The 12,938-nt window shown below is 43.8% G+C and overlaps 1 protein-coding gene and 1 pseudogene across 7 annotated transcripts in view; one reads left to right on the top strand and one right to left on the bottom strand.

The window, feature by feature from the left end:
• Positions 1 to 12,938, top strand: part of GRIN2A (glutamate ionotropic receptor NMDA type subunit 2A) — a 429,505-nt gene that overhangs the window by 62,592 nt on the left and 353,975 nt on the right. The window lies entirely within an intron of this gene.
• Positions 6,727 to 9,008, bottom strand: IMPDH1P11 (inosine monophosphate dehydrogenase 1 pseudogene 11; annotated as a pseudogene).

Genomic DNA, 12,938 nt, shown 5'->3' with positions numbered 1-12,938 from the left:
ATTGTAAGATATATAGCAACATCCCTGGACTCTACCCACTAAATGCAGGTAGCAGTCCATAGTTGTGACAACAAATGTCTCCAGCCATAGACAAACATTTCCTGGTGGTAAAAATCTCCCCCAGTTGAATGTAAATTTGTTCAGCCATTGTGGAAAGCAGTGTGATGATTCCTAAAAGAACTTAAAACAGAATTATCAATCAACCCAGCAGTCTCATTATGGAGTATATCCCCAAAGGAATATAAATAATTATATAAAGATATATGCATACATATGTATTCTGCAGCCCTATTCACAATAGCAAATACATGGAATCCACCTAAACGCCCATCAATGGTAGACTGGATAAAGAAAATCTGGTACATATACAGCATGGAGTACTACATAGCCATAAAAAGAATGAACTCATGTACTTTGCAGCAACATGGATGGAGCCAGAGGCCATTATCCTTAGCAAACTAATGCAGGAACAGAAAACCAAATACTACATGTTCTTACTTATAAGTGGGAGCTAAACAGTGCGAACACAGGGACATAGGGAGGGGAACAACAGACAAATAGTTCTAATCGAGGGCGGAGGGTGGGAGGAGGGAGAGGATAAAAAACTACCTGTCAGGTACTATGTGCATATTACCTGTGTGACAAAATAATCTGTACCAAATGTGTGTACCAAATCCCTGTGACACACAGTTTACCTATATAACCTGCACATGTACCCCTGAACCTAAAATGAAAGTTAAAAAATAATCTTTCCCTGTTGAGAACCACGGGGCTAGACAAAAAGCCGCCTTCCTTCCTTTCTTGAATGAAGCTTTTGTTTGTTTGAATCTGCTGTTTATGAAGGGCTGTGGAGGCTACAGAGATGACTAAGGCACAGTCTCTTACCTGTATGAATTAACAGATTTCTGGAAAATATTAAGCATGAAAACAACTCATCAAATAAAGCTGGAAAATACCTTCCTCTTGGCTTTGAGTAACAGCAAAGATATCCACCTGTGTCAAATGGGTAACGCTCATTCTAAGTGTAATGAGGATCTAACCTGAGGTTCCCACCCAACTTGATTACTTTATAACTTTCTCCATCTTCCTCCTCCTACTGAATTCTGCTGGGTTTTAAAGCCAATGGGCTTTTTTTCCCTTAGCTTCGTAATTCAAAGGATGATGGTAGATGCTATAACAAATAAGCCCTCAAATATCAGTGGTATAACATAGTAGAAGTTTGCTTCCTGCTGATGTAATGGTGTTCCTGGTTGGTGAACAGCTTTCCTATGGCCATGCAGTGATTCAGGGACCTAGATTTCTGCCATATTGTGGCTCTTCCAGTCCCCTAAATCTCACTGTCTTTTCTTTCCAATCAGCAGAAAAATAAGTGAGGAGAAAACACGCCCCTTTCTTAAGAGTCCTGGCCTGAATGTGACTTTGTTTATGCTGATCTTCCATTAGAAAGGACAATTGGACTACTGATGATTTCCGATCAAGTAGAATAAATCAATATTGAATGGCTCATCTTGGCTAAAATTCTGTGACAGTCTCTGGTTATGAAAATTTACCATCAGGATCCTGTTCACATAGGACACTTTATTCAGCAGTGGGGAGAGTTTAGCAGAATTCTCTTTCTGCACAGTTTAAGATGGAGCTGGGAAAAGAACCCAAGTTTTTAGATACAGCAGTCTGTCTGCTACTTGAATCTTTTCTTCTCCGCCATACCAGGACTGGAAGACATAGATTGTGCCCAATTTCTATATCCTAATTACCTACCAGAGGATTGGGCATGTAAAATATTTTCAGAGGGGATGAATGGATGAGAAATATTGTTCACAGGCTTAGAGGTATACACTCAAGGAAGATTTTACTTGTTAACCTGAAAATTGCAAAACAGGTGCTTGTAGAGCTGTACCCACAGCAGTACATTGATGTCGCAAGTATCGGGGCGGGAAAAACTACAATTGCTGCGTGGGGTGGGGTGGGGGTGACCATAGTTCCCTTTATTAGCCAGAGATATAAGTGACAGGAGTCTAAATGAGAACCTGAAGCCAAACAGGAACATTTATTTGATCAGGTAACTAAAAAGTTCAGGGTATCTGGCTTCCAGCACGGCTGAATACAGATATATAACAATGTCTTCGAGAACGTCTTCCTGTACCTGGGCTCCGCTTTCCTCTGTCAGACTCAGTCTTTGGCAGATTCTCCTTAAGTGATGGCAAAGATAACACCAGCCACAACAGATGTTCATCCTTCAACTTGGCCACCTCAGAAGGAAGAGGGGCTCCAGAGAATGCCCCAAGATTATCATTGGCTGGTCCAGTGCCATGTGCTCATCTCTGCACCCATCACCAGGGTCTCCCTCTCATTGTTCAGACCAAGTCACTTGTGCACCATTAGCACAAGGGGTGCCCAGTCCACAGGGATAAAGGGGCAAGCAGGGACAATTCTTCAGTAAAAAACTAGAATGGATGCTTGATGAGGAAAGATATTCTATGTCCACTATATTTCTATTGTCATTATGGAATGAACCTGTGTATTTTTTATCTTAACACTCATTTCCATTCTTCTGGTAATTGTATGTAATCAATCTCTGTTAAGCCCTCTCCCCAGCTGTAGCCCCTGAGCTTTTTGTAGAGATTCCTCCTGGTGCAGAGATGGAGCATATGGTTCAGTGCTGGAACAATGTGGTCATTATATGCTCCTGGTCCCTGTGAACAGTTCGGGGATGGTTATCTGGTCCAGGAAGACCCAGTGAGGTGAAATGAGACTTTACCTCAAACTTGAGTAAAAGAGATTCTTTTTTCAAATTAACTTTTTATTATGATGATTTTCCAAAATGCATGAAAATAGAGGTAACTCTAATCATAAGCAGAGATAACTCTCCTATACTCACCATCCAGCTTCAGCATTTATCAACTCATGGACAATCTTAATTCATTTTATCGCCACCCACAGTAGATTATTTTGGAGCAAATTCCCAACATCCTATCATTTCATCTCTATACTTTTCAATATGCGTCTCTAAAGATAAGAGCTCCTGGGGGAAAAGACTTGGTATTTTCTATTAAAAGTGAACCTGAAAAGATGTAGGGAATAAAATCACTGCTACCATCTTGCTTCCACTTGGAGCCAAGAATTGGAGCCAACAACTAGAGCCAACTGTGTGGCAGCAGAACAGCAAGAAGGAGGAACACGAAATCCAGATGACAGATTTTGGGTCCTGAATTCACCTGTGCATGGAGTAAGCTTAGCTACTTTTTTTTTTTTTTTCAGTCACTTGAGCTAGAATATTCCCTGTAGCTATGTTGTTGATGCCCCACTCATATCCTCTTGGCCCACCCTGAGGGTCACCTGAAGCTTAGATGGACAGTTCCCAACACAGTGATGGCTTCTCACCTCAAGCACAGGCATCTCTCTGCCTAAGAATGTTCTCTGGCCATACGATTGTGTTTGGCTCCTGCATATGGCAGACCTGAAGTGGCAGGGGATAAATAAATGCCCCCCAGAACTGTCTTTAATGATGAGGGATAGAAGTTGGCATACCCTGGCTTCTTTGCTGCTCAGGGAGACAGTAATGAGGTGTGTCCTACACTGTTATTGGAGGGCCCTTGTGGGGTTAAATCCCTGTTATCCCCAGAAGTAACCTTCCCATGAATTTCCCTGCTGCTGGCTTCTTTTCCTTTCCTGTCTTATTTTTCTACTTCCTCACCACACTTCCTGTGATCACCTTCCAACTAAACCATGTCCCCCCAGTTTCTTGCTTTAGCATCTGCTCTAAAGTAAAACTTAACTGAAGTAATTCCCCTTTGCTTCATTTTGCTTAAGCTTCCATGGTTCTATTTCCTTTTTAAAAATTTCTATTTAATTTTAAGTTCTGGGATACATGTACAGAACATAGGTTTGTTACCTAGGTAGACATTTGCCATAGTGGTTTGCTGCACCTCTCAACCTATCACCTAGGTATTAAGCCCCATATGCATTAGCTATTTATCCTGATGCTCTCCCTTCCCCACCACCAACAGACTCTGGTGTGTGTTCCCCTCCCTGTGTCCATGTGTTCTCATTGTTCAGCTCTCACTTATGAGTGAGAACATGTGGTTTTTGGTTTTCTGTTCCTGTGTTGGTTTGTTGAGGATGATGGCTTCCAGCTTCATCCATGTCCCTGCAAAGGACGTGATCTCATTCCTTTTTATGGCTGGATAGTATTCCATAATATGTATGTACCACATTTTCTTTATCCAGTCTATCATTGATGGGCATTTGGGTTAATTCCATGTCTTTGCTATTGTGGATAGTGCTAAAATAAACATACGTGTGCATGTATCTTTATGACGGAATGGTTTATATTCCTTTAAGTATATACCCTGTAACGGGATTGCTGGGTCAAATGGTATTTCTGGTTCTAGATCTTAGAAGAATCACTACACTGTCTTCCACAATGGTTGAACTAATTTACATTCCCACCAAAAGTGTTCATGGTTCTATTTCTGGTCATTCTTAAAACAAAAAAAAAGTCCTGAGTAATTATGCTCCATATTTCCATCCCCAGTATTTGCTTGAGAAATGAAATAATGAAGGCTTCTGAGAAACAGTGTCCCCACGCCCCCATACCCCATTCACACAAAATGTTTTCAGCTTGAGAATACAGTTGCGGAAGCCAAGTTGGGTCTCAGGAATATCTGGTTTGCACTAAATTTCACCTGCAGAATTATAAAATTCAGGTGCTGTTGCCTTGGGCACAACTGCTGGGCTCTGATAAGTAGAGTGGGTGTCCCAGCAGCCTATCCTGTTGGTTCAGATAATGATTTATGGGGGGGCGCAGGCCCCAGGGTGTGCACATGGATGGATGCTCTGCTTATCCTCCTCCAGATAGGTTTCTGGCATCTAAGACAAGAGAGGAGTGGGGTCAACAAGGAGAGCTTCTGTCTCTTCCTGTTTAAGCATCTCTCCTACTACCTACAAATGAAAACATACAAATACTATGTTGATGGTATAGCAAGTAACTTTAAAGAAGGCCCCCAGAAATACTTCACTAATTGGAGACCAGTTCTCCAGCATTTTGAAACCATAAGGAAATTACAAAGTAAGCTGAAAAAAAAAAACTTAGATCATGCAAAAGAGTGGTCAACAAAGTCCATGTATTCTACACAAAGGAGAGCCGTCTTAAGACTGTCTCTCCAGGCTAGTTTACTTTTACTTTATATACAATTGCAACAGAGCATTGAAAGCAGCACATTTTAAGCAGGGAAGGAACATGCACAGCAAGGGCTGCAAACTCAAAAAATTAAATGAACCAGAGAATAATTTTAAACAAGTGAAAGAGGCCAGTTGATGGATTAATGCCATGTGGGGACGTGGGTCCAGTGTTGACAGTTCTTCCATGTTTTCAGGAAGAAACTGAAAATTGGAATTTTAAGTGAAATAACCTTAGTTTTACATAGAAAATATCTAAACAAAAAATTTTTAAAACAGCATGCAGACCTGGCACATCGGGGGCGTGACTTTGCCCCATTAAATGAAGCATAAATTCTCTATTTTGCCAGTGTTCCTATTTGGCTCATATAGGACACTTTAATTTGTGATTCTTTGGTTATTAGATCACTAGCTTTTTAAGCACAGGCTTTGGGCTCTGTTTGCCTTCTTGGGAAATACTGTCAGAAATCAGTGGGTTCATAACCTTTTGAAGAAGTCACTCTTATTTTGGTTGAGTGGGCAGTGTTCTTAGCTACCCAAAACAAACTAGCTATTCACTTCCTGGGATCGCTGGGACCGGTGCCTGCGGGTTTCTGGGGACACAGAAGATACATCTTCCTCCTCCCTCTCCTGTGTTTACACAATCTGCTTTGAAAGGTTATGATTCTTCTGTGGGCGACTGGCCTACAGCATCTGCCTGCTTTGCTTGATTTGGTTCATTTCACCCAGGCTGGCATCTTCGAGTCTGGGGTCCTTTTGGCTTTACCCGCACATAATCTCTTGGGTGGATCAAAACCTCTTCAACTCTCTCTTGAGTTTCCAAGCAGGCTCCCCTGTGGGGCTTTTCTAAGAGTGTTTAGCATTGGCATTGCTGCAGAGCACAGTCTCACTGTGTGGTTTTATGAAGGATTTGTTTTTTAAAATTTATTTTCTATTTTTGTGTCTTTAGAGGCAGGGTCTTGCTCTGTTGCCCAGGCTGGAGTGCAGTGGCATGATCATAGCTCACTGCAGCGTTGAACTCAGGCTCAGGCAATTTTTCTTGCCTCAGCCTCCAGAGTAGCTGGCACTACAGGCACACACCACCATGCATGGCTAATTAAATCTTTTTTTTTCTTTTTTTTTTAAGAACGAGGGTCTTTGTTATCCAGGTTGGTCTTGAACTCTGCCCTAGCCTTCTGAGTAGCTGGGATTACATGTGTGAGCCACCATGCCCAACTAAGGTTAAAAATCTTAAGATGCCCTTCAAGACTCTACTCCTCAAGGTCATGAAATAGTCTTTTAAATTTGTTAAAAATAATGCTGAGTGTATTTTATTTTCAACTCAATAACGCTGTCACACATATTAAACAATAATGGCATTTTCCCATTTATTTCCTTCTGCATATATATGTGTGCATTGATGTGCATGTGTATGTATGTATCTGTATTTATACAAGTACATAAGATATAAATATATCCATACCTATTTGTAATTGCACACAATTTATACATGCAGTAGTGTATAAGCTGCATGTTTCACTTACTATCAAAATCTCTGTAAGCATAATTTTTATTTATTCTGATTATTTAATACACAGTGATGTAACTGTGATCCCAAAATGTGCAAAGTTAAAGCCTTCAACTGCAGCTGAGGAGAGGGCAGGAATGGTATATGGGGACGGTGGTGAGTCACGAATGATGGGCAGGCGGCCATGAGCAGGGCAGCCTCCTCCCCGGGGCCAGGGACAGGGGAATGGCCTAAGGAGCCAGGACCCAAGGGTAGCCCAGGACCGGGGAAGGGGGCAGAGACCTCCTCTTGGCCTAGGTCAGGAGCTCAGAAGTGCCACATGGCTGAGGGGGCAGCGGCCCGGGAAGAGCCAGAGGCAGAGCCAGGAAAGCACCATTTCCTGGGGGGGCTGGGGGCAGGGAGGTACCCTACAGGAGAAGCCAGGTGGGGCCTCCTGTCCCTGGGGTGGGGGCCATGCTGGAGCATGCTGCAGCAAGAAAGACCTGAGGCAGGCGCAGGGCCTGAGAGCCTGGCTGGCTGGGCTGGGGGGCGCCCCCAGGCAGCCTGGCCCAGGGAGCAGGCCCGACTCTGTAGGGGATGCTCAGCGAGGGGCTGCAGAGCCTTCAGGACCTCTCCTCCTCTCTCCCTGGAAAGGAGCTGGGGAACCCGTAGTGCAAATCTGTGGACCACTCAGTTATGGAGAGAGGTTGTGCCCGAAGGTGGACACTGGGGTATGCTCCCTCCACCACCTCATCCTCCACTGCTATCCTCAGTACAGCTGCTTCTGGTAAGCGTGCAGGCCATGGACGCCACCCTCGATCTGGGCTGACATGGTCCACTTCTCAAATTTGAGCTCTCCTGAGTACATCATGGAGCCATGCTGGTTACTCGCTATGAGGTAGGGCACAAACTTCTGAATGGACCCTTTGTCCTGGATGGAGGCCGAGACACCCTGCACAATATTCACCTTTTCCCCCTCGCTGAAGTATCGTTTCTGGCTGCTGCTGCTCTTCTCCATGGCATCTAGCGAGCCCATGCCCCAGTACTTCTTGAGCTGCACCCTGTCTGAGAAGAAGTACTCGCCGCTGGGCCTCCGTGGTGGTGGCCAGCAGGGAGCCCATCATCACTGTGGAGGCTCCAAGGGCCAGGGCCTTGACCACGTGCCCCACGGTCTGGATGCCACATCGGCTATGATGGACACACCAAAGTGCTGAGCGTACTTGGCCACCTTGTACACAGCAGTGCCCTGGGGCTGACCGCAGGCCATCACTTCCTGGGTGATGCAGATAGAGCTGCAGCCCATAACTACATGCAGTCCATCCACACCAGTGTCAATCAGGTTCTTAGCCTGGGCTGCTGTCACCACATTCCTCCCAATCACCTGGAGGTGGAGGTACTTCTGTTTGATGTAATGCACCATGGTGATTTGATACACCGAGTTCCCTTGGGAGGAGTCCAAGACTATGACGTTGATGCCTACCCAGGTGAGCAGGTCCAGGCAGTATTTGTCATCCTCATGGGTGCCCACAGCTGCCCTGCACAGCAGCTGCTTGTGGGAATCCTTGGAGGCCAGAATGTAGTCTCGATTCTTCTTCAGGTTGGTGTGGGAGACGATGGCCACTAGCTCATGGCGATCATTGACCACAGGCAGCTTCCCTTGCTAGGCTGAAGGATCTCATTTGCCTGTTTCAATGTCATGCCTGCTGGAGCCACCATCAGCTTGATCCTTGGCGTCATCACCTCACTGAGGAGGGTGGTGTGGTCCTTCTCAGCAAGAAAGTTGATGTCTCGGGAGGAGATGATGCCCACCAACTTGCTCCCCATGGTGCCCATCTCAGTGATGAGGATGCAAGAGAAGCCATGCCGGATCTTGGCCTCCAGCACATCACCCACAGTGTGTGAGGGGCTCAGCACCACGGGGTCCGTGATGAAGCCCTGTTCAAACTTCTTGACCTTATGCACCTCGTTGGCCTGGAACTCTGGGGTGCAGTTGTGGTGAATGAAACCAATACCTCCCATCAGAGCCATCGCGATGGCCATGTCGGCCTCTGTCTCAGTGTCCATAGGGGAAGAGATCAGTGGTGTCTTCAGCATGATCTTCCGGGTCAGGGCTGAAGTTAGGTCTACCTCATCAGCTATGAAATCTATGAACCATGGGAGAATCAGGAAGTTGTTGTGGGTGCGGCAGTTGGCGCCGAGGAAGAGCTGCTGCACGGTGAGCCAGTCCTGGGGCACGTAGCCGGTGCCGCCACTGATCAGATGGTTCGCCATGCTGCCGCAAGGCCCCGCGAAGCGACAAACACCCGCGCGGCCGCCTGCCGCTGCTGCCGCTGCTGCTGACGCTGTGGGCCTGGGAACTGTAAGCATAATTTTTAATGCCCATAGTGGTGGTTATTTAACCACTTAGTGTTGGGTGCCTTGGTCATTTTCATGGAAACTTTTGCTAATATAAATGCCACTGATAAACATCTCTGTGCATAAACCTTTATATTTACTGTTATTTTCTCAGTATAGATTCCTTTTAGAAATGGAATTGAACAAATCCCTTGAAAGCCTCCAAACTGTCTCATTTCAATCAGTTCTTTTAAGAGCTGAAGTAAGAGTATTCTTAGCTCCACTTAATTGGTCGAGCTGATATACTAGCTTTTTCTTGATTTTTGTCTGAAGTAATTAGGTTAAGAAAAGTTAGTTTAACACATACATCCCTGAATAGCAGAAACTGAATCCACCACAGATGTACTTCTTACTCGTCTGAAGTCAAATGTGGATGTTTGTATTCAGAGGGCGGCCCTCTGACAAGTGACGATTCAGGGGCTCAGCTCCTTTCATCTTTTGGTTCTGCCACCTTCAACATATGGCTTCTAAGGCCACTGACATCATCTGTGTTGAGCTGTGAAAGGAGTGGAGCCTGGGAAGTTTTTTATGGACTAAATATTCCCAGGAGGAAAACGGAGTAGGATTTATGATCACTTATCCAGAACCTGCTACAAGATTTCTCCTTATCTCATACTTGCAGTCTGTCAGCAAATCCTGTTGGTTTTATCTTTGAAATATCCCTTGACTTACCCACTTTTCTCCCTTGCCCATGCACCCCCCAGTCCTGGCTGGCGCCATCACTCCCCTGGATCACTCCAATAGCTTCCTCATTGGTATCTCTCTTCCACTTTGCCCCCTTGCCACTTGCTTCTCCATATTCTGTTAAGAAATCTTTATTAAAACAAACAGTTCCACGACATTCCCCAGGTAAAAACCATGTAATAGCGTCCATTAGAATTTATTAAAAAATCCAAACTATTTACCTTGATGAGGTCCTGTGTGATCTAGCCTTGTCTATTCTCCAGTCTCATCCATTACCACGTTCCCCTAACTCGTTAAATGCTATTCCAAATGGTTTCCATTCAACTTTTCAAATTTGCCAAGCTCTTTCTTACCCTGTAGCCTCTGCGTGTGCCACTCCCTTTGCCCAGAACTTTCTTGTTGTTCTTCACTTGACAGGTTATTTCTGTTTTTATTTAAAATTCTTTTTATTTAATAACAATGAGAACACATGGACACAGGAAGGGGAACATCACACTCTGGGGACTGTTGTGGGGTGGGGGGATGGGGGAGGGATAGCATTAGGAGATATAGCTAATGCTAGATGACGAGTTAATGGATGCAGCACACCAGCATGGCACATGTATACATATGTAACTAACCTGCACATTGTGCACATGTACCCTAAAACTTAAAGTATAATAATAATAAAATTAAAAAAAATTTTATTTTTTTTGTGGGTACATAGTAGGTGTATATATTTATGGGGTACATGAGATGTTTTAATACAGGCATGCAATGTGAAATAATCACATCATGGAAAATGAGGTCTCCATCCCCTTGAGCATTTATCCTTTGTGTTACAAACGATCCAATTATATATTTTTTGTTATTTAAAAATGTTCAATTATTGACTATAGTCACACTGTTGTGCCATTTATTAAATGGTAGGTCTTATTCATTCTTCCTATTTTTTTTTTTTTTGTAATCTGGTTATTTCTTGTTCTTTGGATTTCAGCCTACCTTCATGGTGTGAACGTACTTGGTTATAATGCATTGCCTTTTGTTACATTTTTCTATTTGATCTGCTCATATTTTGTGGGGCACTTTTGCATGTATGTTTGCGAGGAAGGTTGGTCTAGAGTTTCCTTATAATGGCTTCCTCTGGTTTTGGAATCAGGGTAATACTATCCTCATAACATGAATTGGGAAGTATTGCCTTCTGAACACTAGTTTCTGAAATAATTTGTGTAGGACTCTTTTTTTTTTTTCCTTAAATGTTTTATAGAGTGCAGCAGAGAAGACATCTGGGCCTGAAGTTTACTTTGTGGGAGGGTTTTAAACTATGGGTTCAATTTCTTTAATTGATACAGGGTTGGTGAAGGTTTCTATTTCTTTTTGAAAAAGCTTTGGTAATTTGTATCTTTCCAGGAATTTGTCCATTTCATCTAGGTTGTCAAATTTATAGGCATAAGGGTTTTTTAATCCTTTTAATATCTTAAAGTCTGTAGTAATGCACCAGACTTTATTTCTGATAGTCTCTTTTCTTCTTGATCAGTCTACCTAGGTTTATCAATTTTGTTTTTTTTTTTTTTTTTTTTTAAAGAGAATCAGCTTTGGGTTTCATTAGTTTTCTCTGTTATTTCTTAATTAGCTTCTCAGCCTAAATGTCTTCTCAGAAAGGATGTTTCCTGACCATTCTACCTAAGGTGGCTTCACCTTTCTCTTGCCTTCTCCTCTGATTATTTGTTTTCTACCTCAGGTCTATGTGTAATTATTTTATGTGTTATGTGCTTTTTTTGCTTCTATGTTACTTGCAGATACTGCAGAATAGTAATAAGTCTGCCTAACATGGTAATGTGCTTGGTGAATTTCCAAGAACATATATGGTGGTTTCCAAGTATGCTAGCACAGCAGTATCTATAGTGGTTAAGAGACTAGGGTCTAGAGTTGGCTCATCTCAGCTTTAACCCCGGCTACATCGTACACTAAGTGTGTGACCCTGAACACGTGTAACCGTGAACACAAATTCTGATTCCTTCTGAGATGAGGGTTGTGCAACATGGCAGCTGTGATCAGGAGGCCTGGGGTTTGAGTTCTGGCTCTGTTACCTGTCAGCTGTGTGATTCTTGAGGCAATTACTTCTCTGAGACCCAATGATATGGTTTGGCTGTGTCCCCACTCAAATCTCATCTTGAATTTTAACTCCCACAATTCCCACATGTTGTGGGAGGGACCCAGTGGGAGGTAACTGAATCATGGGGGTGGATCTTTCTTATGCTGTTCTCACAATAGTGAATAAGGTCTCATGAGATCCAATGGTTTCAAAAAGAGGAATTCTCCTGCACAAGCTCTCTGTCTTTGCCTGCTGCCATCCATGTAAGACTTGACTTGCACCTTCTTGCTTTCCACCATGATTGTGAGGCCTTCCCAGCCATGTGGTACTGTAAGTCCATTAAACCTCTTTTTCTTCCCAGTTTCAGTTATGTCTTTATCAGCAGCATGAAAATGGACTAATACACTCAATTTTCTCTTCTTTAAAATGATTTGATGCAAGGAGTACCTAATCTTGGGATTATTGGGAGGAACTGGATGAGACATACATGAGTAGGATCTAGCCCAGGGTTGGCCTTTTGCATATGAGGCATTCCCTCAAACTGTACTTTCCCAGAACTTCAGCTCTCCCCACCAGAGGGTAAGCATCACTGTAGCAGGCACTTTGCACGTTTTGTGCACCTCTGTACCCCCACTGCCTTGATCAGTGTGGTCAGACAGGCACTGAAAAATGCCTGTGAAATGGATTCTTCTTTTTGTTGCTTATGAAATCTGCAACTGTGAGTTGAGTGTCCTGAAGCTCAGCAGGGCAACGATGGCTTCAACAATCTGGCCCTTGCTTGTCTCAGGTGAGCTGCTCCTTTCCCTTTCAGGAATCTTCTAAACTGCTGGGATTCCCAGGGGGAGGACGGGACCTTTAGGGATCTTGCAAACCCCAGCAGAATATCAGTTTTCTTCACAGAAGCGTGTCTAACTTCCTTCAGCCCTGGTCTGCAAATTCCAGACATGAAACTGTGCTATTTGCTAGCTTGGCCTGGCAGGTATTTATTCAAAGGCTGCAGGACTCCATGATAGAGAGTAGCAACAGAGCCAGCAGGATCCTGTAAGTACTCCTCATGCAACTACCTGCAGTGGATTTAAAGTCAGCTCAGGGCAGTTTCAACACCAGAGTTGGAGGAAAGAG

This window comes from Homo sapiens, chromosome 16, assembly GCF_000001405.40.
Source record: "Homo sapiens chromosome 16, GRCh38.p14 Primary Assembly".
NCBI classification, from domain to species: Eukaryota; Metazoa; Chordata; class Mammalia; order Primates; family Hominidae; genus Homo; species Homo sapiens.
The sequence above is the reverse complement of the archived record's forward strand: the minus strand, read 5'-3'. Positions and strand labels throughout refer to the sequence as shown.